The 23,084-nt window shown below is 39.8% G+C and overlaps 1 long non-coding RNA gene and 2 pseudogenes across 1 annotated transcript in view; 2 read left to right on the top strand and 1 right to left on the bottom strand.

Annotated features, from left to right (window-relative positions):
• LOC101927284 (uncharacterized) overlaps positions 1 to 18,894 on the bottom strand; it is a 174,470-nt gene extending 155,576 nt beyond the window's left edge. The window contains exons 1-2 of the long non-coding RNA NR_110754.1: positions 18,783 to 18,894; positions 15,284 to 15,427 (exon numbers count right to left, since the gene is read on the bottom strand). This is a non-coding gene — a long non-coding RNA (uncharacterized LOC101927284). The remainder of the gene's footprint in view (positions 1 to 15,283; positions 15,428 to 18,782) is intronic.
• On the top strand, positions 18,782 to 19,321 carry RPL21P112 (ribosomal protein L21 pseudogene 112; annotated as a pseudogene).
• BRD7P5 (bromodomain containing 7 pseudogene 5) lies at positions 20,418 to 22,525 on the top strand (annotated as a pseudogene).

Raw genomic sequence — 23,084 nt, 5'->3', positions numbered from 1 at the left:
AGATCATATATCGTTAAACACTGAAGGTCAGGAGTTATGGGTAGATCAAAGTACCCTAAGCCAGTGGTTTTCAAAGTGTGATCCCAGATGGGCATCACCTGGGAACCTGTTAGAAAAACAAATTCTCAGCCCCACCCTAGACCTACTGAATCAGAAAATCTGGGGGTGGGGTCCAGAAATTAGCATTTCAACAAACCCTCCAGGTGACTCCAATGCACATGACAGTTTGAGAACCACTTCGAAATCTTTTGTTCTAATTAATTCCCTAATTTTAGATGAGAAACTCAGGGTCCACAGTAAGTAAATGCCTTTCCCACTATCATCCTGCTGACTGTGTGAACTAAAAAAAGAGATGAAAATTTGTTTTACTAGCTATACTTTTAAAAATAAGACAGATTTCTTTTCCCCAAAGATTAGAAGAGAATTGATGATTCTGGTTTGTATTAGGTTCTCTAGGAGGACAGGACTAATAGGATAGATGTATATACGAAGGGGCATTTATTAGGAGAATTGACTCACACCATCACAAGGGGAGGTCCCTAAATAGGCCGTCTGCAAGCTGAGGAGCCAGAAAGCCAATCCAAGTCCCAAAACCTCAAAATTAGGCAAGTGAATAGTACAGACTTTAGTCTGTGGCTGAAGTCCCGAGAGCCCCTGGCAAATCACTGGTGAAAGTTCAAGAGTCCAAAACCTGAAGAATTTGGAGTCCGATGTATGAGGGCAGGAAGCATCCAGCATGGGAGAAAGATGTAGGCCAGGAGACTTAGCCAGTCTAGTCTTTCCACGTTCTTCTGATTGCTTTTAGTCTGGCTGTGCTGGGAGCTGATTAGATTGTGCCCACCCAGATTGAGGGTGGGTCTGCCTTCCCCAGTCCACTGATTCAGATGTTGATCTCCTTTGGCAACACCCTCACAGACACACCCAGGAACAGTACTTTGCATCCTTCAATACAATCAAGTTGACACTCAATATTAACCATCATATGGTTTAAAGCCTGCTTTCTGATTCATCAAATGTGAACTAAACATGAATGATTCTGAGTAAAATCCCATCAGAATTCCCAGTGCCTGGCAAATAATGGGCACTCAGTAAATATTTATCATAATATGAATCAGCCTCACACAAAGACTATTGGCAAGTACTTCATCCATTTCCTTGTACAATTAGTGGGTCTCTGCCCAAATGGTTAATACTGAGACCCCAAAACACCACATTTTCTTGCATGGAATAATTTTGACAAGTAACTCAGTTTCTCCCTATTTCCACCCAAATGCCTCCAAAGGTAGACTGAAAAAGAGACATCCATTGTGAAAACTGAAAAGCTAAGAGAAGTCCCTGAAATGCTACCCATGTGAAATTTCCCCTAACATTTTCTTAACTTTCAAAACATCCGAGCAGATTTCACTTATTTTAAATAGCTGAAATTTTGTTTGTTTATTTTTGCTTTGCTTTACCAGGATAAAAATTGAAAATGCAGTCTTAGCATGTGTGAAAGCTTTTCTTTTTAGAAAAGGCAGGAAAGATTGAATCTAAGGTGAAAGAAGATCCCAGGGCTAGAAGATTTGAGAAATAAGGCATAAACTCTTCCCCAAAAGAACTCCAAACATAAAACTACCTGTATGGAAAGAATGATATCAGAATCAAACAATTATAGTAATACATTGAATCAATCTGGTTAAGCTTTCTTTTTTTCTCAATAGTAAATTCTTGACTTCTTCACTTGAAATGTTTTAATTCATAATTGTTTTTCTCTGAATTATCTGTCCTATAGTAAAAATGTTATTTTAAATGGTTTTTATTTTCTTTTATTTACAAAAAAAGCTTCTAAACATTTTTTCTTTTTTTAAAAAGAGCATAACATCTATACCAGGAGGAATACAGACATGTTTTATTGCTGTAATAACACTTACATCTAATGGATAAGCCTTTGGCATCACCAAGTACGCAAGGCTTATATTACTATCAAAAGTCTTTAATGAAGAGCAACAGCAACCAAATTATATAACACCAAGTCTTACAATTACACATAGTTTAAAAATGCTATACAATTAAGCCATTTACCTAAGAACCACATGATTTTGTGATCAAATAATGTATGGCAACTCTTTACATGGTACACCTCAATTGCTGATAAATTTTGGACCTCACAAACATTTTAGGAGCCTAAGAAAAAAATTTTTGTCAGTTCTTCATACCGTGTTTTATGCCTCAATTAACAGAATAAGCTGTGTGTGCATATGAATGCTGCACATCCAATTACTTTTTTCAGCGGTATGGAAATGGTAACTGGACCCTCGTCTGGAAGCTTTGCCACTGTGGCTATCACATTCAAAGGGAAAACGTGTATCTAGGAAACCAGCTATGCTGAAGGTGAATTTTCTCAGGGATCAGTTTTTTTCTACCAAGGAATCATGTCCTTTTTGGGAGCAGGGATTCTTTCAGCCTTAAAAGAACAATGATTTTTATAGTACACAAATCAAAACTTTATTTTTTGGAAAACAATTATTGATCAACATGTATCATCAGCAATGCAGCAAAGTCTCCAGCCAGACTGCAGAGATTTAGGCTGCTCAATTCTCCAGTGGCCCTGGGGGTTGAGAGATCCATAGTGATTGCTACTTGCAAAGCTCTATTAATGACACAACTTTTTCCATGCTTTCATACTAAAATACAAAAGTATGCCAAAGAAACCACAAAAGTGATATGTAAAAAGAGAATAGTCTTAAGTAGAGAAAGCCAGAACTCGTGAGTGGCAATTCTAAAACAAGTCCTACCACTGGCCTCATAACTCTTTAAGAGCCTTCCTAATTTTCACCTTTAAAATATGAGGCCAATAAACATATCTGTTATTGGCTCAATTCTTCTCTGACCTGCATATTTTAATAGAGCTTTTCTGGACCTTGAGCAAAATTATTTTAGCCATCTTTGAATGTTCTGGTCTTGGGAGAAGTCTAAAATCTCATATATTATTTTAAAAAAAACTTAAATAGTAGTGCAGTGGAGTTGCATGTGTATTTCTTACAGTTAGATATGTAAACAAAAAATTGCTTTTTTTCCTTGTTATAATCACCTGCTCATCATTGTTGGCAATACATGTAAACTCGGCCTAACCCACTAACTTAAACATATGTTTAAGGTCATTTGTCTCGTCGGATAAATCCTGGCTTTTTCAGATTTGTTGTCCCTCCCTCGGCTCCTGTCCAAGATGGCCCCTCGGCGTGTGTATCAAGGGTTCGGGGAAGAGCAGGGGGCTCGGGTCTAACAGTCCAGGTCTTTATCCTGACCCCATGCCTAGTGTTGGCACTGGGGGCTCGGCGGCTCAGCCTGGGCCCAGAAGCCCATCCTGTGGAGGAGCCACATCAGTCCTCTGATGCCATGGCAGTCCTGAGGCATGGCGCTGATCCCCACTGGGCTCTGTTGTAGAAGGTCCGCCCAGAAGACTTCCAGGTCAAGGACCTGCCACACCCAGTGCTGTAACCTTCTAGGAGGCTTGCCAGGCAGCTCAGCTAACCTAAGTATCTCTCTGCAGTCCCCCAGAGAATATGAGGTGCCTTCCTGTTTCCCCACAAGATTACCGAGGGATCCCCTAGGAATCAAACCCAGTCCCTCCGTGTCACCCTGAGGGGAGTAGAGCAGAAGCCTCTGCCTGCCTACACTTTCTCCACCGAGCCAGTATCCCCTTACCCCACACCTCCTTCTTCCCTCAGCAGCATCTACCCTTTCCTTGTTTAGGGGGCTACAGGGGTGAAACTTGACTTACCAGGAATAGAAAATACCTCGTTTGACTATGTTGAAGATTTTAGCCTAATTACAATAGGAATTTCTCTTACCCAGGATCCTAATATCCCTGGAAATGTGGCTTTCTTTCCACTCCTACTGCTTTTGAACTGGGCTCTTTCTTCCAAACTTATATTCTTTCAATCCTTCACGTAGGCCTGTATTTCCATCTGATTATCATTGTCAGCAAGGAGGCTTGTGCAGATAAAGACTCCCCAGTTGAGCCCTTCCATAACAATTCCAAAAAGCAGATGGCTGCCATGGCCCGGACCTGTAATTCCAGCTACTCAGGAGGCTGAGGCGGGTGGACTGCTGGAGCCCAGGAATTTGAGACCCGCCTGGGCAGTATAGCAAGACCCCTGTTTCAAAAAAAAAAAAAAAAAAAAGCAAGGTGCAGAATGATGACTATAACATGCTGTCTTCAGGTTAAGAAAAGGAAAATAAGACTTTTTCTTTTTCCTTTCTCCCTCTCTCTCTCTCTTTGTTTCCTTCCTTCCTTCCTGACAAGGCCTCACTCTGTTGCCCAGGCTGGAGTGGCACAATCATAGCTCACTGTAGCCTTGAACTCCTGAGCTCAAGCTATTTTCCTGCCTCGCCTCCCAAGTAGCTGGGCCTACAGGCATGTGCCATCACACCCAGCTAATTTTTTTTTTGAGGGGGTGGTTTATATCAAGCAAATTTATTTACTCAAAATGTCTTTAATGTTTGAAAACACCCAACCTCCCGCAACAACTGAAAACTCCACATGAGTTGGAATCTCCCACTGTGGGTGGCTTGAGAATGCTCAAGGGTATGACTGGAGTAAGGAGCCAAGCCGGGCAGTGGTCACCATGCATCAGGGCCACCGCAGGAAGGAAGACGAGGGGTGGGAGGCTGAGAGCTCAGGAGGAAGCAGTGGCTGGTAGGAGACACGAACCCCAAACCCACAACAGAGGGGACCCAGCACAGTCTGGGTGAGGACCTGGGGCACCAGCTGCCCCGCTGTGGCCTCCCTGTGGGGGTCTTGACCCTCCTGAGGTCGCATTTCACACAAATCCACAGGTGAATGGAGAAGTCCAGGCCACGGGAAGCCTCATCCCAGGACGGGAGAACCTGAGTGGAGGCCGCCAGCCTTGGGGAGTCCAGAACACCCAGATAATTTTTTAAAATTTTGATTATTATTATTATTTGTAGAGATGGGATCTCACTATGTTTCCCAGGCTGGTCTCAAAATTCTGACCTCAAGCAATCCTCTCACCTTGGTTCCCAAAGTGCTGGGATAACAGGATTACCATGCCTGGTGAAAAGATTTCATAGTCTTATTTGCTTGGATCTGCATAAAGACTGGGAGAAAACTTTTAAAAAAGTGATAGACAACCTTTTTATGTTAGTGAAAGTGTGAAGGAAACAAGGAATCGTTTGCCTTTCCTTTTTTATATGATTCTGGTTTTTTGTGTTTTCACTCTTTGTAAAGAAATTTTAAAAGGGTTTTTGCTTTTGTTTGTGTATTTTAGTGGTTTTGATGATAAGCCAGGTCTGGAAAGTAGCAGGGTTTCCCAAGAGATCTTTTTTTTTTTTTTTCTGAGATGGAGTCTCTCTCTGTCACCAGGCTGGAATGCAGTGGCACGATCTCGGCTCACAGCAACCTCTGCCTCCAGGGTTCAAGCCATTCTCCTGCTTCAGCCTCCCAAGTAGCTGGGATTACAGGCATGGGCCACCACGCCCAGCTAATTTTTGTATTTTTATTAGAGATGTGGTTTCACCATGTTGGCTAGGATGGTCTCTATCTCCTGACCTTGTGATCCACCTGCCTCGGCCTCCCAAAGTGCTGGGATTACAGGCATGAGCCACCGCGCCCAGCCCCCAAGAGACCTTTTAAACCTAAATCTGGTCACATCCCACTACTAACACCCTCCAACAATGTCAAATCATGTTTGGGATAAAATCAAACTTGTTTAGCATGAATAGTAAGGCCACTGCTGACCAGAGCCTGCCCTGCTTCTCAGTCTGCCCACCCCGGTGCATGCCAGCTACCCCTCCATTCCTGCCTGCCCCCTCCCCACCTCTCACAACTCCTCACTGTTTTCTCAGAAGATGCAGCCTGGCATCATCCTTTCCACCATCTGCCCTCCCCATAATCTGCCAGAATAAATAAGATTCTCCTTTCTATGTCACACTACACAACAATTTTAAAATATTTATTATTTGGAGACAGGGTCTTGCTTTGTCACCCAGGCTGCAGTGGCATGATCATAGCTCACTGCAGCCTTGATCCCCTGGACTCAAACAATCCTCCCGCTTCAGCCTCCCTAGGAGTTGGGACCACAGGCGTGCACCACCACACCTGGCTAATTTTTTAATTTTTATTTTTAGTAGAGATGAGGTTTCACTATGTTGCCCAGGCTGCTTGAACTCTTGGGCTCAAGCAATCCACTCTCCTTGCCCTTCAAAAGGGCTGGGATTACAGGTGTGATCCACCATGCCTGGCCAACATTTCTAAAAAATGTCTTTCTACTCTCCCACCTCCCAGTCAGGGACAATAGCATTCTCAGTTGGGGTAGTGTTTGTTGAATGAATGAATAAATGATTTTCAGTGTTGATGAAAATATTTTTAGAATAATAAAATAAACATAGAAGAAAGCTCATTAGATCACTTAAATCTGTGATTTTTAAAAAAAGATATGTGTTTGTGTTAGTAAACAAACAGCAAAATTATGATCAGGATAACGGGGTTATAAGTCTTAGCTGCGGACTGCTAGGTATGTTAATAGATAGATAAGAATCATCTGTAATTGACATGATTTTTGTATGCCCACAATGCCACTAACTGGTTTCTCAGGCCCTGGACAATGTTAGACCTCACTCTTAAGTAAAGAAAGTCCGTTTCCCTTGTTTACACAGTGAATTTACTCAAGGAGCACTGTCTTCATGGGTAAAACACTGGTGGCTTTACTGCTCTTTACACCTAAATTATCACAAAGTGGGAATGAATCTAAATGAGGTCATACAGTGTTTATGAACATGACATGAATTAATTTCATGAAGATAAGTCACCTTGTGATCTATATGATCAGAAACTAGTTTATTACTTTCTATATGAAAAAATAATGGTAAAATTTTGTCACTCTATCTTCTGTCTTGCCTTTCAAATTTTTTAAAAACACAATTCTACAATGATTGACGAAACTGACTTTTTAAAGAATTTCTACTTTTTATTTTTAAAAAGAAATTTGTAGTCATGAAAATATGAATATGTCACCTGACTTCTCAATAAGATCTTCATTGTAACAACTCAATTAGCTTCTGAAATGGTCTCATCTAGCTAATAACCTGCTTTCTGAGGAAATAATCAATTACTTTTGAACCAGGAAAATCTCTGATAGTAGATCAGAAAAAACATACAAACAAACCTGGAACAGGATAAATTAATAGTGTTTTGATTATTCAAAGAACATACATTATTTCAATCCAACAATCAGCTAAGAGTTCATGCCCCCTTTCTGCAGTTGAACATTAGCTTGCTAAGAGTTTTTTTTTAAAAAAAGGTACCATGAACTGATTTAGCTTGCTGCCACATATGAAATGTGGTTCTAATGACAGAATTAATCTTTCGTGAGTTACGAATTCTTTGAAATTAGAATCCAGATAATTATATGTGGGAGTCACTTCTTCCTTTTCTAATTAAGTGGATAGTATTGTCTTCACCATCCAGCTGGTTTCTCAGAAACCAAAGTTGGCTTCCATATAAATATAATTTCATTTTATGGGAAGTAGGTTCTCCCACACCACATGCCTAAGCTTCTTTAGATGTAAATGGCATGGCATGAAGGCTTGTCCTTCCAATCAAAACGTGAAACCAGTCTTTCCAAATGGCTTAATATTTAACTATTAACTACTAAGAGCAACGACTGCCTAAAATAAAAGCCCTTGGCATAATAACCATTTTCACAAAACTAATTCCTTCAAGTAGACATGTCCTAATGGACCAATAAAACTTGCCTTGTCGTGTCTGAATGCGGCATTAGCGCCTTTTAGAGCTGGCTATAATTGGTAATCACCGTTCAGGTGAAAGTGGGGGGTGGGGGAGATTTATAGAATAGTACTTTATACTGAGCTTCCACGGGGCCTTTCATCTGAAGATCTCAAAGCACTTGACAAACACTAATTAATACTCATGATACCCCAGTGAGAGAGGTAAGTATTATTATCCCCATTTCACAGATGAGATGAGGTTAAGTTGGGTAACTTGGTGAGTCAGGGACAGAATGAAGGGCTCCTAATTCTCAGTCTTGTGCTCATACAACCATTACAAGGGGCTGCCATTGAAAACATAAAAGGAAACACACCTCATTTTCAAATACCCTAAGGTGAAAACATCAATTGCAAATGGGATCACAATTAAGCCACTTGGTTTTAACAACAGTAACAACATCTTGTAATTGTCAAACTTCATTTTGAAAAAAATAGAAAATAGTATTAAAAGTAGTTTCCTTGAAGTGTAAAATAAAGATTATTTTATCATGGGAGGAGCCATACAGAAATTTATGTCGAATAATTTGATAAGGTGGCTAAAAAGTTGGATTTCACTTTTATTAGATGGTGGGTTAGATTCTTGCACAACTCTAAACTTTCTGAGGACAGATCCATCCTTTTAGAGTTTGTTTCCTAGTGTGGAGTGTAAATAGGTACATTACTCAATCAATGTTAGTTAAACCAACAAAACCAACTAAATGCCAAGGTGCTGGGGGGCATGTGAAGAGGAATAGGATAGAACTCCACCCTCAGGGGGGCTAGGGAATTAAGGAAAGACATAGAATACAAGAAAGTAATTTTAAAATTAGGGGAGAAGAGCAGGAATGGTCCAAGCATTCAGTGTGAAAACACTAAGGTTCTAGGTTCAAATTGGAACATTAAAGGTTTTGATGAGTTCTCAGAGGCTAAGACTATTGCTTTTGGAAACTGTATTAACTCTTATATGCCATCAGGGTGGCTTTTCTTCAGCTAAAGCTAATTGGCTTTCAAACAACCCATTGGGTTTTTAAATTCATTGTTTAAAATGCTGAATATTATAATAAATACTGTTTGGTCGAAGAGAAGACTTGGAAATAGCTTAGAGATGAGTAGGGAGCCAGCCATACTAGCCTTCTTTGGGTTTCTCCAAAGCCTCTCTGCCTCAGGGTCTTTGCATTCTGAATGGTAGACCATTCAGTCTACCCAGAATGCCTTTCCCACCCTCCCTCCCCACCTTCTTCACCTGACCAACTCTCACCTATCCTTTGGATTTCTGCTCAAATAGCATTTTTTGACTCTTTAGAATAGTTACAGCTTCTGAGAACTCTTTCCATATTTCCTTCAAAATAACTATCTCAGCTTGTAATGAAATATCTGGATTTTTAAAAATTAATGAATTTCCCTCTTTCTTCTACTCACTGTCTCTAATTTTAAGAGATCTATACCTGTTTTGCCTACTATTATAGCTTTAGCACACAGGAGGTCCTTAATAGAAACTTGTTGGATGAATAAACACACATGGTGCTAATTGCTGAGAAACTGGAAAGTAGCAGCATTTGGGGAGAGCTCATACTAAGAGAAAAGCAGCCTCAGTTAGTGGAGAGCAGGGCTGGTACTATCAGCGAGGCCCCAGTGTTGCTACGAGCTGGCTCGCCACCCACAGCTAGGCCATGGTGTTCATCCATTTAACATAAGCTGTTTCACAGCACAGGATACCAATGTCATTCAAGGCCATTGTTTTGTCTGATCTATCAAGACAAAACAAGAATATTGTCCAAGCCACAAAACCATCCAAACATCCCATATTCGGGCCTAGTGACTGCTGCTGCTTTGACAATTACAATGTTAGCCTTGCATTGTTCTTCTCACCTGCAATGTAAAAATGTCAGTCGTGGAATAGTCCCTCCTTCCTGACAGCAGCCTTGAACACTCCCTAAAATCTCCTAAACATGTCCCAGGCCTATAATAAGATCTTTTCAACATCCTCTTACTGAGATGCCCCATGGTGCCTCGTGATGTGAGGTCTCCCTCATCACAATGAGCCAACTGACCCAATTCCATCAATAAACCAACTTTGTGTCTCTGGTGGTCTTTGACCTGGGGACATGGAAAATACAAAGACTTGTATATAATGAGACAAAAAAAAACTGATATACAGCTGTTCAAATATGTCTCCCTTCCCAGAGAATGATTTAGGACTGGGAATGTTTCACTCCAGGAAGTCATTCAATCTGATTTTCAAGATATTATTGAAACACTGTATTAATATAGATCTTCCTAAATTATCAGATGATTTAAAAATCTCTTCACACTGGATTTTGGAAAGCAAACAATTATGAATTATTTTCATGGAAAAATTTTTAATGCGTTTTTATATATTCTTAAATGAAAATGGGTGTATGCTCTTTGGAATTGTCAATTTGAGGTAGCCAACTAGAAGAAAACAAGGTAACTTCCAAGGTTAATCTGCAAGGTACATAGACCAATGTCGATAATCAAAGACTGATTAAAGTTCTTGTAAGAAACTACTTTTCATGCTTCTCTCAACTGCTTCATGTAGGCTACCACCTCAAGGGGAAACTGTAGTCTATGCTTTTGCTATTTGTTTTTTTTCCTGTCTATTCAGTTACCTAAAGACCTAATATATTTGGGCGTTAGAATGAGAATGCATCTTCTCTATCTCTGTAATCCAATTCATTTCTTCCTAACAATTCTAGTTGCAAACTCCGCCCTCTGCCTCTTCTTAAGCAACTCACAGCAAATTCATTCAAAGCATTCCCAAAGCCAAGGGCAGATTTTAAAGGTTGTTCACAGTCAGCAGGGGCAGTGTATCTCAATCTTTTGTATCTCAGTTTCCTTTGGGATGACATAAAAATTTTCTGATTTCATCAACTGCTGGGTGTTCCCTGGAGTCCCCACTTGAAGACAATGGCTTTAGATTCTAGTACTTCTTAAGTTGATATATCATAAACCCCCCGTCTCACGTTAAGAATTATTCATCTCTTTAGAATGGAGCTTTCAGTCAAATTTGGTGTCACTCCTCAATATTCTGCTTATTGTTTCAATTTCATTAAATAATCTGTGTTTTCTGTTGCCTTATGGATCCAAAGAGAACCTTTGCCAGACCATCTTGGGAACATCCTTACCATGTGTCTCTCATGCTGCCCCCAGTTCTGGTTTAGCATCTGAATTCTTTTACCCACATATTTAACTTTTCTTGCCCATCTCATCTTGCTACTCCCCTTTCTTTCTTTGTGTATATATTGCATTTGAAGCTCAGCTTGTTTGAAACTAAACTCATTATTTGCCCTTTCCCACTTCCAAATTAATCCCTCACCACCTGCTCTTTTAAATATAGGTCTTTTTGCTAATTTGTTTCCATTTTTCTTGCCCCTAGCATTAAAGCAATTTTCAAACCCCATCAGTTCTTCCTTCACAGTCTCCTTTTTCCATTCCCTCCTTTATTCCCTTGGACTACTCCCAAGTCTGCTGTCTCTGTCTCTCTTTTCTCCATTCCATCTGCCAGATCATTGCCAAATTAGCCTCTGCTGAATATTATTTCAATCATGCTATAGCCCTGTTAACAAAATATATACAAATATAAATAAAGACACATCTACCAAATCTAGTTCGGACTCTTTAGTTTGGAGTTGGGTGGGCTACAGGGCCTCCCCTCACCCCCACAGAGAGTTTTGAAAAAAAGACAGTTTTTAAGAGTCAGAACCAGAATTCAGATGCAAGTCTTTCAACTTTAAATCTTCTATAACCTAACTACAAGACTGTGTGACTTCTTGCTAAACTTCATTTCAATATGTTTATATATTTCATTTGTAAAAAAAAAGGACCAACATGCAAAACACACACACACACACACACACACACACACACACACACCCCCCACTGTAGTACTGGAAGAGCTACATAATAAGTGTGCTTATGAATAACTCATTAAACAAAGACCACCTCTTGACATCCTCTTGTCTTTCCTCTCCATTCCAAGTTTTACCAGCAACACAAATATTTGATACTACAGCATTTTTACAAATTGAAGGTTCGTGTCGATCCTGCGCTGAGCGAGTATATCGCTCACTTTGTGTCTCTGTGTCACATTTTGGTAATTCTCACAATATTCAAATTTCAAAGTTTGAAATATTTCAAACATTTTAATTATTACTATATCTGTTTTGTTGATCTGAGAGCAGTGATCTTTGATGTTACTATTGTGATTGTTTTGGGGTGCCATGAGCTATACCTATATAAGACAATGAACTTAATTGATAAATGTTGTTTTTGTTCTGACTGCTCTACTGACCATTGTTTCCCCATCTCTCCCCCTCCTTGGGTCTCCCTATTCCCTGAGACACAGTGATATTAAAATTAGGCCAATTAATAGCCCCTACAATGACCTCTAAGTATTCAGGTGAAAGAAAGAGGTACAAGTCTCCCACTTTAAGTCAAAAGCTAGAAATAATTAAGCTTCAATGAATGAAGGCTGAGAAGGGTAAGGAAGCTGCAGAAGAAAAACTGACAGCTGGCAGAGTTGGTTTGCGAGGTTTAAGGAATAAAGTTTTCTCCATAACATAAAAGTGCAAAGTGAAGCAGCGAGTGCTGATGGGGAAGCTGCAACAAGCTATCCAGAAGATCTAGCTAAGATCATTGATAAAGGTAGCTTTGCTAACAAATTTTCAGTGGAGACAAAACAGCCTTGGATTGGAATAAGATGCCATCTAGGACTTTCATAGCTAGAGAGAAGACAATGCTTGGCTTTAAAACTTAAAAGAAGAGGCTGACTCTCTTGTTAGGGGCTAATGTGACTGGAGACTTTAAGTTAAAGCCAATGCTCATTAACCATTCTGAAAATCCTAGGGTCCTTAGGAATGACACTAAATCTACTCTACTTGTGCTCTGAAAAGGGGAAAATAAAGTCCAGATGACAGCACATTTGTTTAAAACATGGTTTACTGAATATTTTAAGCCCACTATTGAGAACTACTGCTCAGAAAAACATTGCTTTTTTCCAAACATTACTGCTCATTGACAATATACCTGGTCACTTATGAGCTCTGATGGAGATGTACAAAGAAATTAATGTTGTTTTCATGCCTGTTGAGGTGGTTTGGGTCTGTGTCCCCACCCATATCTCATGTGGAATTGTAATTCCCAGTGTTTGAAGTGGAGCCTGATGCAAGGTGACTGGATCATGGAGATGTTTCTCATGAATGGTTTAGCACTATCCCCTTCGTGCTGTTCTGGTGACAGTGAGTGGGTTCTCATGAGATCTCGTTGTCTAAAAGTGTGTGACACCTCTCCCTTTGCTCTTGCTGCTCCTGCCATGTAAGACACCTCTCTCCCCCTTCACCTTCTGCCATTATTGTAAGTTTCCTGAGGCCTTTCCAAGTCATGCAGATGCCAGCATCGTATTTCCTGTACAGCCTGCAGAACCCCAAGCCAATTAAACCTCTTTTATGTATAAAATACCTAGTCTCAAGTATTTCTTAAAGCAATGTGAGAACTGACTAGTACATCTGCTAATAGTACATCCATTCTACAGTCCATGGATCAAAGCAGTGTATGTAATGTTGTTTTTGTGTAAGAAAGGGGAGAGGATAACAACATGCTTTCAAATTTGCTTATATCTGCAAAAAGAACTCAGGAAGAATGCAGAGGAAACTAAATGAGTAGTTGTTCATAGAGAAGTGGAGGAGATGAAAACCAGAGTAGAGGTGATGACGCAGCCCCCAAATTGGGGCTTAGCCTGGGAAGGTCCGTGGTTTCCCCCAGGAAAGAATTCAAGGGCAAACCAGTGGTATTAGCAACTTTTATTGGACCAACAGTGTACAGCAGCAGCAGAAGTACTGCTCCCTGCAGAGTAGGCCTACCCCATAGAAAGTGTGCCCAGAATAGCTGCTCAGACGCAGTGCTGCAGTCATATTTATACCCGTTTTTAATTATGTGCAAACTAAGGGGCAGATTATGCAGACATTTCTAGAAAAAGGATGGTAACGTCTGGGTTGTTGGGTTGTTGCCATGGAAAGGGGTGGTAACTTCCGGTTGTTGCCATGGCAATGGTAAACTGACATGGCACACTGGTAGGTGTGTCTTATGGAAAGGTGCTTCCACCTCCTCCCTGTTTTAGTTAGTCCTCAATTTGGTCCGGTGTCTGGGCCCTGCCTCTGAAGTTGATTGCGTCCTGCCTCCTGAGTCACGTCCTGCCTCCATCCTCAGTAAGACCTCTCAATGTTTACCCTGTTAAAGCATTTTGATATTTGAATTGTACAAATGTATAACTCTTCAAACCAAATCCAACAAATAAAGTCTCTAAAGAAAAATATATAACTTTTTATAATTCTAGGAGTAACACCTACTTACGGAATATTTTAAAAGAACAGGGATATAAAAGCAATCCTTCATAATCCCATTTCTAGAAATAATCACTGTAAAGATTCTGGCATATTTCCTTTCAATCTCCCATGCAGATCTCCATAAATATTTGTGTCTATACTTACAAAGTTGAGATCACACTTCAATACACTTTTGTACTTTGCAGTTAACACTTGAGATAATTTTACAAGCATTTTATTATGTCATTTAAAACTCTTGATAATAATCATAATCTTAATATTCATTCTTCAAAAAACGTTAATAGTAAAGTCCATTATTCCTAACCATTGATTAAAAAATTCATTCCTAATTAACTGTAGCCTTAAGGCTTCCCTCAGGTTTCCCAAACAGGGCACATGCAGGACAATGCTTTCAGGACATCTTTGTCAGAGCTCCCTCAGCCATGCTGAAATGCTGTTTTGCCACATTAACAGGGAGCACCATGGGAACCACTCTAGAGGGTTTGTTAAGAGGAGAGGAGCTCAGAAGGCATATTCATGGAATACACAATTCTTGAACTTCATCAATGCCCAGGACTGTTGTCATTGTTGACTGACACAGTGCTGGGATATTTCACTACAGGCATACCTCAAAGATATTGTGGGTTCCATTCCAGACCACCACAATAAAGTTAATCTCTCAGTAAAGTGAGTCACCCAAATATTTTGATATCCCAGTGCATATAAAAGTTACATTTACACTATACTATAATCTATTAAGTGTACAATAGCATTATGTCTGAAACAACAATGAACATATTTTAGTTTTATAATAATTTATTGCTAAAAAATGCTAATGGTCATCACCATCTGAGTCTTCAGTGAGTGGTAATCTTTTTGCTAGTGGAGGGTTTTGCCTCCATGTTGATGGACGCTGACTCATCAGCGGGTGGTTGCTGAAGGTTGGGATGACTGTGGCAATTTCTTAAAATGAAAAAAAAATGAGGTTTGCCACATCAAATGAGTCTTCCTTTCATGAAAGATTTCTCTGTAGCATGCAGTGCTGTTTGATAGCATTTTACCCACAGTTGAACTTCTTTAAATATTGGAGTCAATGTTCTCAAGCCCTGCAGCTGCTTTATCAACAACATTTATGTAATATTTAAATCCTTTGTTGTCATTTTGACAATACTTACAGGATCTTCATTAGGAGTAGATTCCCTCTCACGTAACCACTTTCTTTGCTCGTTCATAAGAAGCAACTCCTCATCCACTCAAGTTTTATCATGAGACTGAAGCAATACAACTACATCTTCAGGCTCTATTATATATTTTCTCCTCTGCAAAAAGAGTTATGAAATAATTTTAAAATTTAAATGATTTTAAAGTACTTTTAAAATTTAAATGATTTTAAAGTAAAATAATTTGTAGTATACACTGAAGGCAAAAAGTGTTATATAAATGCTAAATAATAATATTGTAAAGCCCCTATATTCTGTGATAATGAGCACTATATAAATGCTAAGTGGAAAAGAATAGAAAATGTAGTGTTTCGAAATGGCTTATAAATGTATCAGGTTTCTTGTGTTTCATATGCACTATATATATAGGACTTGCAGCAAAAATGCAAAAGCAAATACTTATCTATTTTAATAATTGTATAGCTGTACTATTCATTATAACACTGTGACTCTCTAAATCATTTTGTACCTAAGAAGAAGAGGTCTTTTCCTGTTAGCTATTACTGTGAAACAAAATACCCCAAACCTTAGTGGCTTAAGTCATCAAGCATTTTATTACCTCTTATGATTCTGTGAATTACCCAGGCTCAGATGCCTGCTCCATATGGTTCACCTGAGGCTGGAGTCATTTGGAGGCTCAATTGGTTGGACTACCCAAGATGGCTTACTTGCATAGGTGGCAGTTGCTCATAGTGGTTGGCTGGTTGCTCAGTTGGGAGTCAACTGGAGTGTCTCAGTTTTCTTCTACTGGCTTCACTGTAGGGCTTGGGTTTCTCATACTATGGTGGCTGGGAACATTCCAAGCAGACCAGTCCCAATGTACAAGCAGCTTACTGAGCCTCTGCTTGCACTGTTTGCCAATGACCCATCAGCCAAAGTAAGTCATGAGACCAAGTCTAGAGTCAGTGTGGGGAGGACTATATAAGGCATGAATACCTAAAGGTGTGGTTAAATCAGAGCCATCATTGTAATAGTCCACCACAGAGCCATAGCCAGCCTTGAAAATATCCTCGTATCCCTGAGTGGCACAGAAACAGATGGGACCCTTGCCATCAACACCATCATAGCAAAGATCTAGAATAGAAGGTTGCAGGGCTTACAACAATCATTCCATACAAGGCACCTCAGTGATGACCTGTGTGGAATGGTAATGAAGGACCAGATGGGATAATAGTGACCCTAATACAAAATAGAACCATCACACCCATGGCACTCTATAACTCTCATGTATTACTTAAGAATACATTCAGCTGCAAGTAGCATAAAAGACAATTCTAATGACTTTAGAAAGAGACCTTTATTTCTCTCACATAATAAGATGTCCAAAAAACAGATGGTTACAAATTGGTTCTATAGTTCAACAATGTGTTTGTAATTTTTGGCTTTTCCTGCATGGTCATAAGATTGCTGCCCCAGCTCCAGGGATCATATCTGAGATCAAAGCAGGAAGAAAGAAGAGGGAGGGAGGAGCTAGCATCAAGCCATCTGAAATCAAAAGCTTTGCTAGAAATTTCCAGCTGACTTCTTCTTATGTCTCACTGGCCAGAATTGGTTACCCCAGCTGCAAAGAAGGCAAAGAAAAGGAATAGTCAGCTGGCACTTCGCTGCTCAATATGGTATCAAGAGTCTGTAAATAAAGGAGTTGGGGTGGGGGCAGTTATATTGGTTAAAAAAAAGTGTCTGTCTCTACCCTAAAACTTAGAAAAACAACCCAGAAACAAACTCAAAAACAACCCAGAAGTGTCTGAGATAAAAGCAGCTATAACCTTGATAGAATGAGATCTTGAAATCCGAATTAAGTTATTTTAAAGAAAAACAAAGTTACATACAGCTGCTATGATTAGATAATATCTCTGAAGGGTTATTCCCTGGCACATAGCAAGTGCCAATACATGTTAGCTGTTGTGGTAAATATGATGTAATAGTAGTGGTGCTGAAGATATTAATTATTATTACAACTGGCATGAGATAAATTAAGGTTTCCCTATTCATCCAACAAACACTTATTGAGCTTTTTCTTCATACAAGAACCTTTACAATTCAAATCTTAGGAAGCAAAGAGTTTAGTGGGTGATTCATATTATTAGGGGAAAAAACATTTATTTTGGATGCAGTATTAAGAGGAAAAGATAAGTGCTTTTGGAAAACATTCCTAATGATTCAGAATGCAATTCATTCTCCTTAAGAACATACCTATGGAGATGGAAAACACTGTGGTCTCAATTAAAATTTTTTTTGTGGTGAAAAGCACATATAACTCAATTGAAGGTCAGGAGTGCTGGCTCATGCCTGTAATCCTAGCACATTGGGAGGCTGAGGCAGGAGGATCACTTGAACTCAGGAGTTTTGAGACCAGCATGGACAACATAGTGCGACCTCATCTCTACTGAAATTAAAAAAAAAAAAAATAGCTGGGCATGATGGTGCATGCCTGTAGTCCCAGCTACTCAGGAAGCTGAGGCAGGAGGAACACTTCAGCCTGGGAGGTCAAGGCTGCAGTGAGCTGTGTTCACACCATTGCACTCCAGTCTAGGTGACAGAGTGAGACCCTGTCTCAAAAAACAAACAAACAAAAAAAAATTAAAAATATTCAATTGACCATCTTAGCCATTTTAAAGTGTACAGTATAGTAATAAAAAGATATTTTTGTTGCAGTAACATTTTCAGTAAAAATAACAGTAAATATTTGATTGGAATAAGGAAATATATAATATAGACCTGAAGAAAGAGGGAATATCAAACCTGTCTGTTTTGGGCTGTTTTATGATTTTCTTTAACTTGGTTTGACTTTTCGAGTCAGCAAAAGATTAAAGTTGATACAGAAACACACACACATCCCCCCGGACACACACACATTCCTCTGTTGGAATGTCTTGGTTATGGAGATGTGTCTGCTCTTTGTAATAGAAAAGGACACAGGTTTACTGCTAAGCCCAGGCAGGTTTGCTGGGCCAGCTCTAAGAGCTCAGAATGAAAACACAGAAGAAAAAATCAAAACAGGTAACATGCCCCAAAAGTGCACAGAACTTTTCTGAGTGTAAGAGAAGGGAACAGGGAGAAGAGAATGGGATGGAACTGTGAGGGGTGGAATGCCAGGGAGGATTAACAGGATGGATTTCAGGAGGGAACATGAGAGAAAACAAAACTCAAATGATGGTTTGGCATGATCCAAAAACAACAGATAGAAGGTAAATAAATGTTTCCTTAGAAGAGAGAACCTTGAAGTTTCCCCAAAAAAGGAAGAAAAAATGAAGGGAAAGAAAGAGAAGCAAAGGAGATGGGGAGAAAGGGGAAGGAAGGGAGACATCAATAAAGGCAAAAGCCAGAGAAAACAAGAAGCAAGTCTAACAGTTAGAATTCGAGTCCCAGAAGAAGAAGAATGCAAGAAATAGCACAATTCCAGGCAAGGAGAAGAGATACAACACTCAGGTTACTTTTAAGAAGAGGAAAGTACCTTTTGGCCTCAACTCCCAGCTTCCAGTAATTTGATAAAATGACGAACACAGAGGAAAGAAGAGAGGCAACTGCTGAGGTCCCCTAGGCCTTTGAGAAAACGGAGTTGTACCTTTGGCAACATAAGTGCATATCTACAAGAAAGGCGATAATGTAGACACCAAGGGAATGGGTACTGTCCAAAAAGAAATGCCTCACAAATGTCACCATGGCAAAACTAAAAGAGTCTACAAAGTTACCTAGCATGCTGTTGGCATCATTGTAAACAAACAAGTTAAGGGCAAGATTCTTGCCAAGAGAATTAATATGCATATTGGGCATATTAAGCACTCTAAGAGCCAAGATGATTTCCTGAAAGTGTGTGAAGGAAAATAACCAGCATAAAGAGGGAAGCTAAAGAGAAACCTGAAGCTGCAGCCTGTTCCACCCAGAGAAGCACACTTTGTAAGAACCAATGAAAAGGAGCCTGAGCTGCTGGAGTCTATTAACTGAATTCATGGTATAACAGGTGAAAAAAAAGAAGAAGAAGAAGACTTCTGGATTGTAAAGGAAGAAAGAGGAAGAGAAGGAGGAAGGGAAAGAGCAGGCAAAAATAAATTTGAAAGCTCTTTGAAACCACAAAATATGGTAAAATGAATAATTTTAAGAAGAGAGTACACTGTAAATCACATCTTAATATTAATATTATGTAAAAATTATGTATAAAAGCTAGAGATAAGTCTGTAGAACTCAAAGAGAAACAATGTAAACATTAGTACAAAAAAATGAATGCAATGTAGTTATTCAAATGTAGTTCAAAATATGTAAGATAAGGTAGAGAAGATATTAAATCATTAATAAGAATTGGGGAAGAAAAAAGAATCAGATTTCAAATTAAGCATTATATTAACTAGGATAATTCAGGTATCCACTAGGACCTGATAATTCAGGTCTCCATCTATGACAAACCCACAGCCAATATCATACTGAACAGGCAAAAGCTGGAAGCATTCTCCCTGAGAACTGAAACAAGAGAAGGATCCCCACTCTCATGACTCCTATTCAATATAATACTGGAAGTCGTAGCCAAAGCAATCAGGCAAGAGGAAGAAATAAAAGGAATCCAAATAGGAAAAGAGTGAGTTGAATGATCTCTCTTCATAGACAATATGATTCTATACCTAGAAATCCCCACAGCTTCTGCCCAAAGCCTCCTAGAATTGATAAACAACTTCAGTAAAATTTCAGGATACAAAATCAACGCACAATAATCAGTAGTATTTCTATACATCAAAAACATCCAAGCTGAGGGCCAAATCAAAAATGCAATTCTATGCTGCAGAAGGATAGTGTATAATAATAATAAAAGAATACAATTCTATTCACAACAGCCACAAAAAGAATAAAATACCTAGGAATACAGCCAATCACAGAGGTGAACAATCTCTCCAACAAGAGTTACAAAACACTGCTGAAAGAAATCAGAGACAACAAAAACAAATGGAAAAACATTCCATGCTCATGAGTAAGAAGAATCAATGTTGCTAAAATGGCCATACTGCCCAAAGCAATTTACAGATTCAGTGCTATTCCTATCAAATTACCAACATCGTTTTTCACAGAATTAGAAAAAACTCTTCTTAAATTCACATGGGTTGAGAGGGACCTCGCGCCGCCCCCTTGCCTCCGGCGCGCAGGGCCTCTAAGGGGCCGCTCCCGCCCTGCGCGGGCCTGGCCTGGACCGGAAGCTGCGCTGCGTGCCTGCTCCTGGCTCTGGGGGCGGGCACCGGGGCCAGCTGGACAGGGGCAAGAAGCACAAGGAGCGCAAGTCAGACAAACACTTCTATGAGGGGTATGTAGAGAAGCCCTTGAGGCTGGTCCTCAAAGTAGGAGGGAACGAAGTCACCGAATTCTCCACGGGCAGCTCAGGGCACGACTCCAGCCTCTTCGAAGGCGAATAAGATCATGACAAATACAAGGACAGAAAGCAGAAAAAGAGAAAGAAAGGAGAGAAGCAGGATCCAGGGGAAGAAAAAGAGAGAAAACGGAGGAGAGTTAGGGAGGATAAAAAGAAGCGAGATCGAGACCTTGTGGAGAATGAGGCAGAAAAAGACCTCCAGTGTCATGCCCGTGTGAGATCCTCTCACAAGCTCTTTAGCCAAACAAGAAGAAGTAGAACAGACACCCCTTCAAGAAGCTTTGAATCAACTGATGAGACAATTGCAGAGAAAAGACCCAAGTGCTTTCTTTTCATTTCCTGTGACTGATTTTATTGCTCCTGGCTACTCCATGATCATTAAACACCCAAGGGATTTTAGCACTATGAAAGAAAAGGTCAAGAACAATGACTACCAGTCGATAGAACTAAAGGATAACTTCAAACTAATGTGCACTAATGCCATGATTTACAACAAACCAGAGACCATTTATTATACAGCTGCAAAGAAGCTGTTGCACTGGGGGATGACTATTCTTAGCCAGGAAAGAATTCAGAGCCTGAAGCAGAGCATAGACTTCATGGCTGACTTGCAGAAAACTCGAAAGCAGAAAGATAGAACAGACTGGGGAGGATGGAGGCAGAGTGGGGAGGACGAAGGCTGCTGGCCCAGGGAGAGAGGACTCTGGAGATGCCGAAGCACAAGCCTTCCAGAGTCCCGGCAAAGAAAATTAAAATATAGACAAAGATATGCTTGAAGATAAGTTTAAAAGCAATAATTCAGAGAGAGAGAGCAGGAGCAGCTTGACCAAGTTATGAAGGAATCTGGAGGAAAGCTGACCAGACAGCCTGTGAACCGTCAGTGTGAATTTGAAAGAAGAAAACCAGATGGAACAACAACGTTGGGACTTCTCCACCCTGTGGATCCCATTGCAGAAGTGTGAGACTTGAATTCTGGACCTACAGTTCTTATGCACCACGTATGACTCCACGTTTACAAATATCAGCAAGGATCATTCTGATTTAATCTATCCAACCTATGGGGAAGACTCTGATCTTCCAAGAGATTTCAGCATCCATGAGTTTTGGGCCACATGCCAAGATTATCCATATGTTATGGCAGATAGTTTACTGGATGTTTTCACAAAAGGAGGGAATTCCAGGACCCTACAAGAGTTGGAGATGTCATTGCCTGAAGATGAAGGCCATACTAAGACACTTGGCCCAGCAAAAGAAATGGAGATTATAGAACTAGACCCAGCAGGGCATCTGGACCCCAATACTCAAGACAGGCTCACACACTGAAAGTAGTAAACTTTGGCGCTCCAGTTGAAGTTTTTGACTCTGAAGAACCTGAAGTATTCAGAAGAAACTTGATGAGGCCACCAAATTGTTCAGGGAGCTCCAGGAAGCCCGGAACGAGCATTTGAGCACCAGACCCCCTCCCAGTATGATCTGTCTCTTGGGTGCCTCCTGCAGAGAAATGCATCTCACTGAACAAGTGACCAATAATCTTAAAAACTTGCACAGCAAGTAACTCCAGGTGATATTGTAAGCCTGTATGAATTTCAAAAAGCAATGGGGATTTCCATTCCTTCCCCCAGCATGGAAAACAATTTTGTAGATTTAACAGAAGATCTTGAAGAACCTAAAAAGATGGATGTTGCTGAGTGTGGACCTGGTGGGAGTTGAAGCACATGGTATTTGATTATATATTATGTATATACTTTTTCATTCTTAACTTAGAAATGCTTTTCAGTAGATATTAAATATTTGCAAATTGTGTTTTTAGTTAAACTTTGGAACAGTGAATTTGAATGTTCCAGAGGGGAAAAAAATAAACAAAAATAAATAAAATTCGCATGGAACCAAAAAAGAGCCCGAATAGCTAAAGCAATCCTAAGCAAAAAGAACAAATCTGGGAGTATCATATTATCCGACTTCAAACTATACTACAAGGCTACGGTAACCAAAAAAAAACAGCATGGTACAAAAACAGACACATAGACCAATAAAACAGAGAACCCAGAAATAAAGCTTCACATTTACAACTATCTGATCTTCAACAGAGTTGACAATAACAAGCAATGAGAAAAGGACTTCCTATTCAATAAGTGATCCTGGGATAACTGGCTAGTCATACACAGAAGACTGAAACTGGACCCCTTCCTTTCACTGTATATACAAATCAACTCAAGATAGATTAATACTTAAATGTAAGACCTCAAACTATACAAACCCTAGAATAAAACCTAGGAAATACCATTCTAGACATAAACCTTTGCAAAGATTTCGTGACAGTCTCCAAAAGCAGCTGCAACAACAAAGTAAACAGACAATCTATAGGAGAAAATACTTGTAAACTATGCATCTGATAAAGGCCTAATA

The sequence above is a fragment of the Homo sapiens genome, chromosome 13 (assembly GCF_000001405.40).
Source record: "Homo sapiens chromosome 13, GRCh38.p14 Primary Assembly".
In the NCBI taxonomy this organism is placed as follows: domain Eukaryota; kingdom Metazoa; phylum Chordata; class Mammalia; order Primates; family Hominidae; genus Homo; species Homo sapiens.
This window is presented reverse-complemented; position numbering and strand designations above follow the sequence as displayed.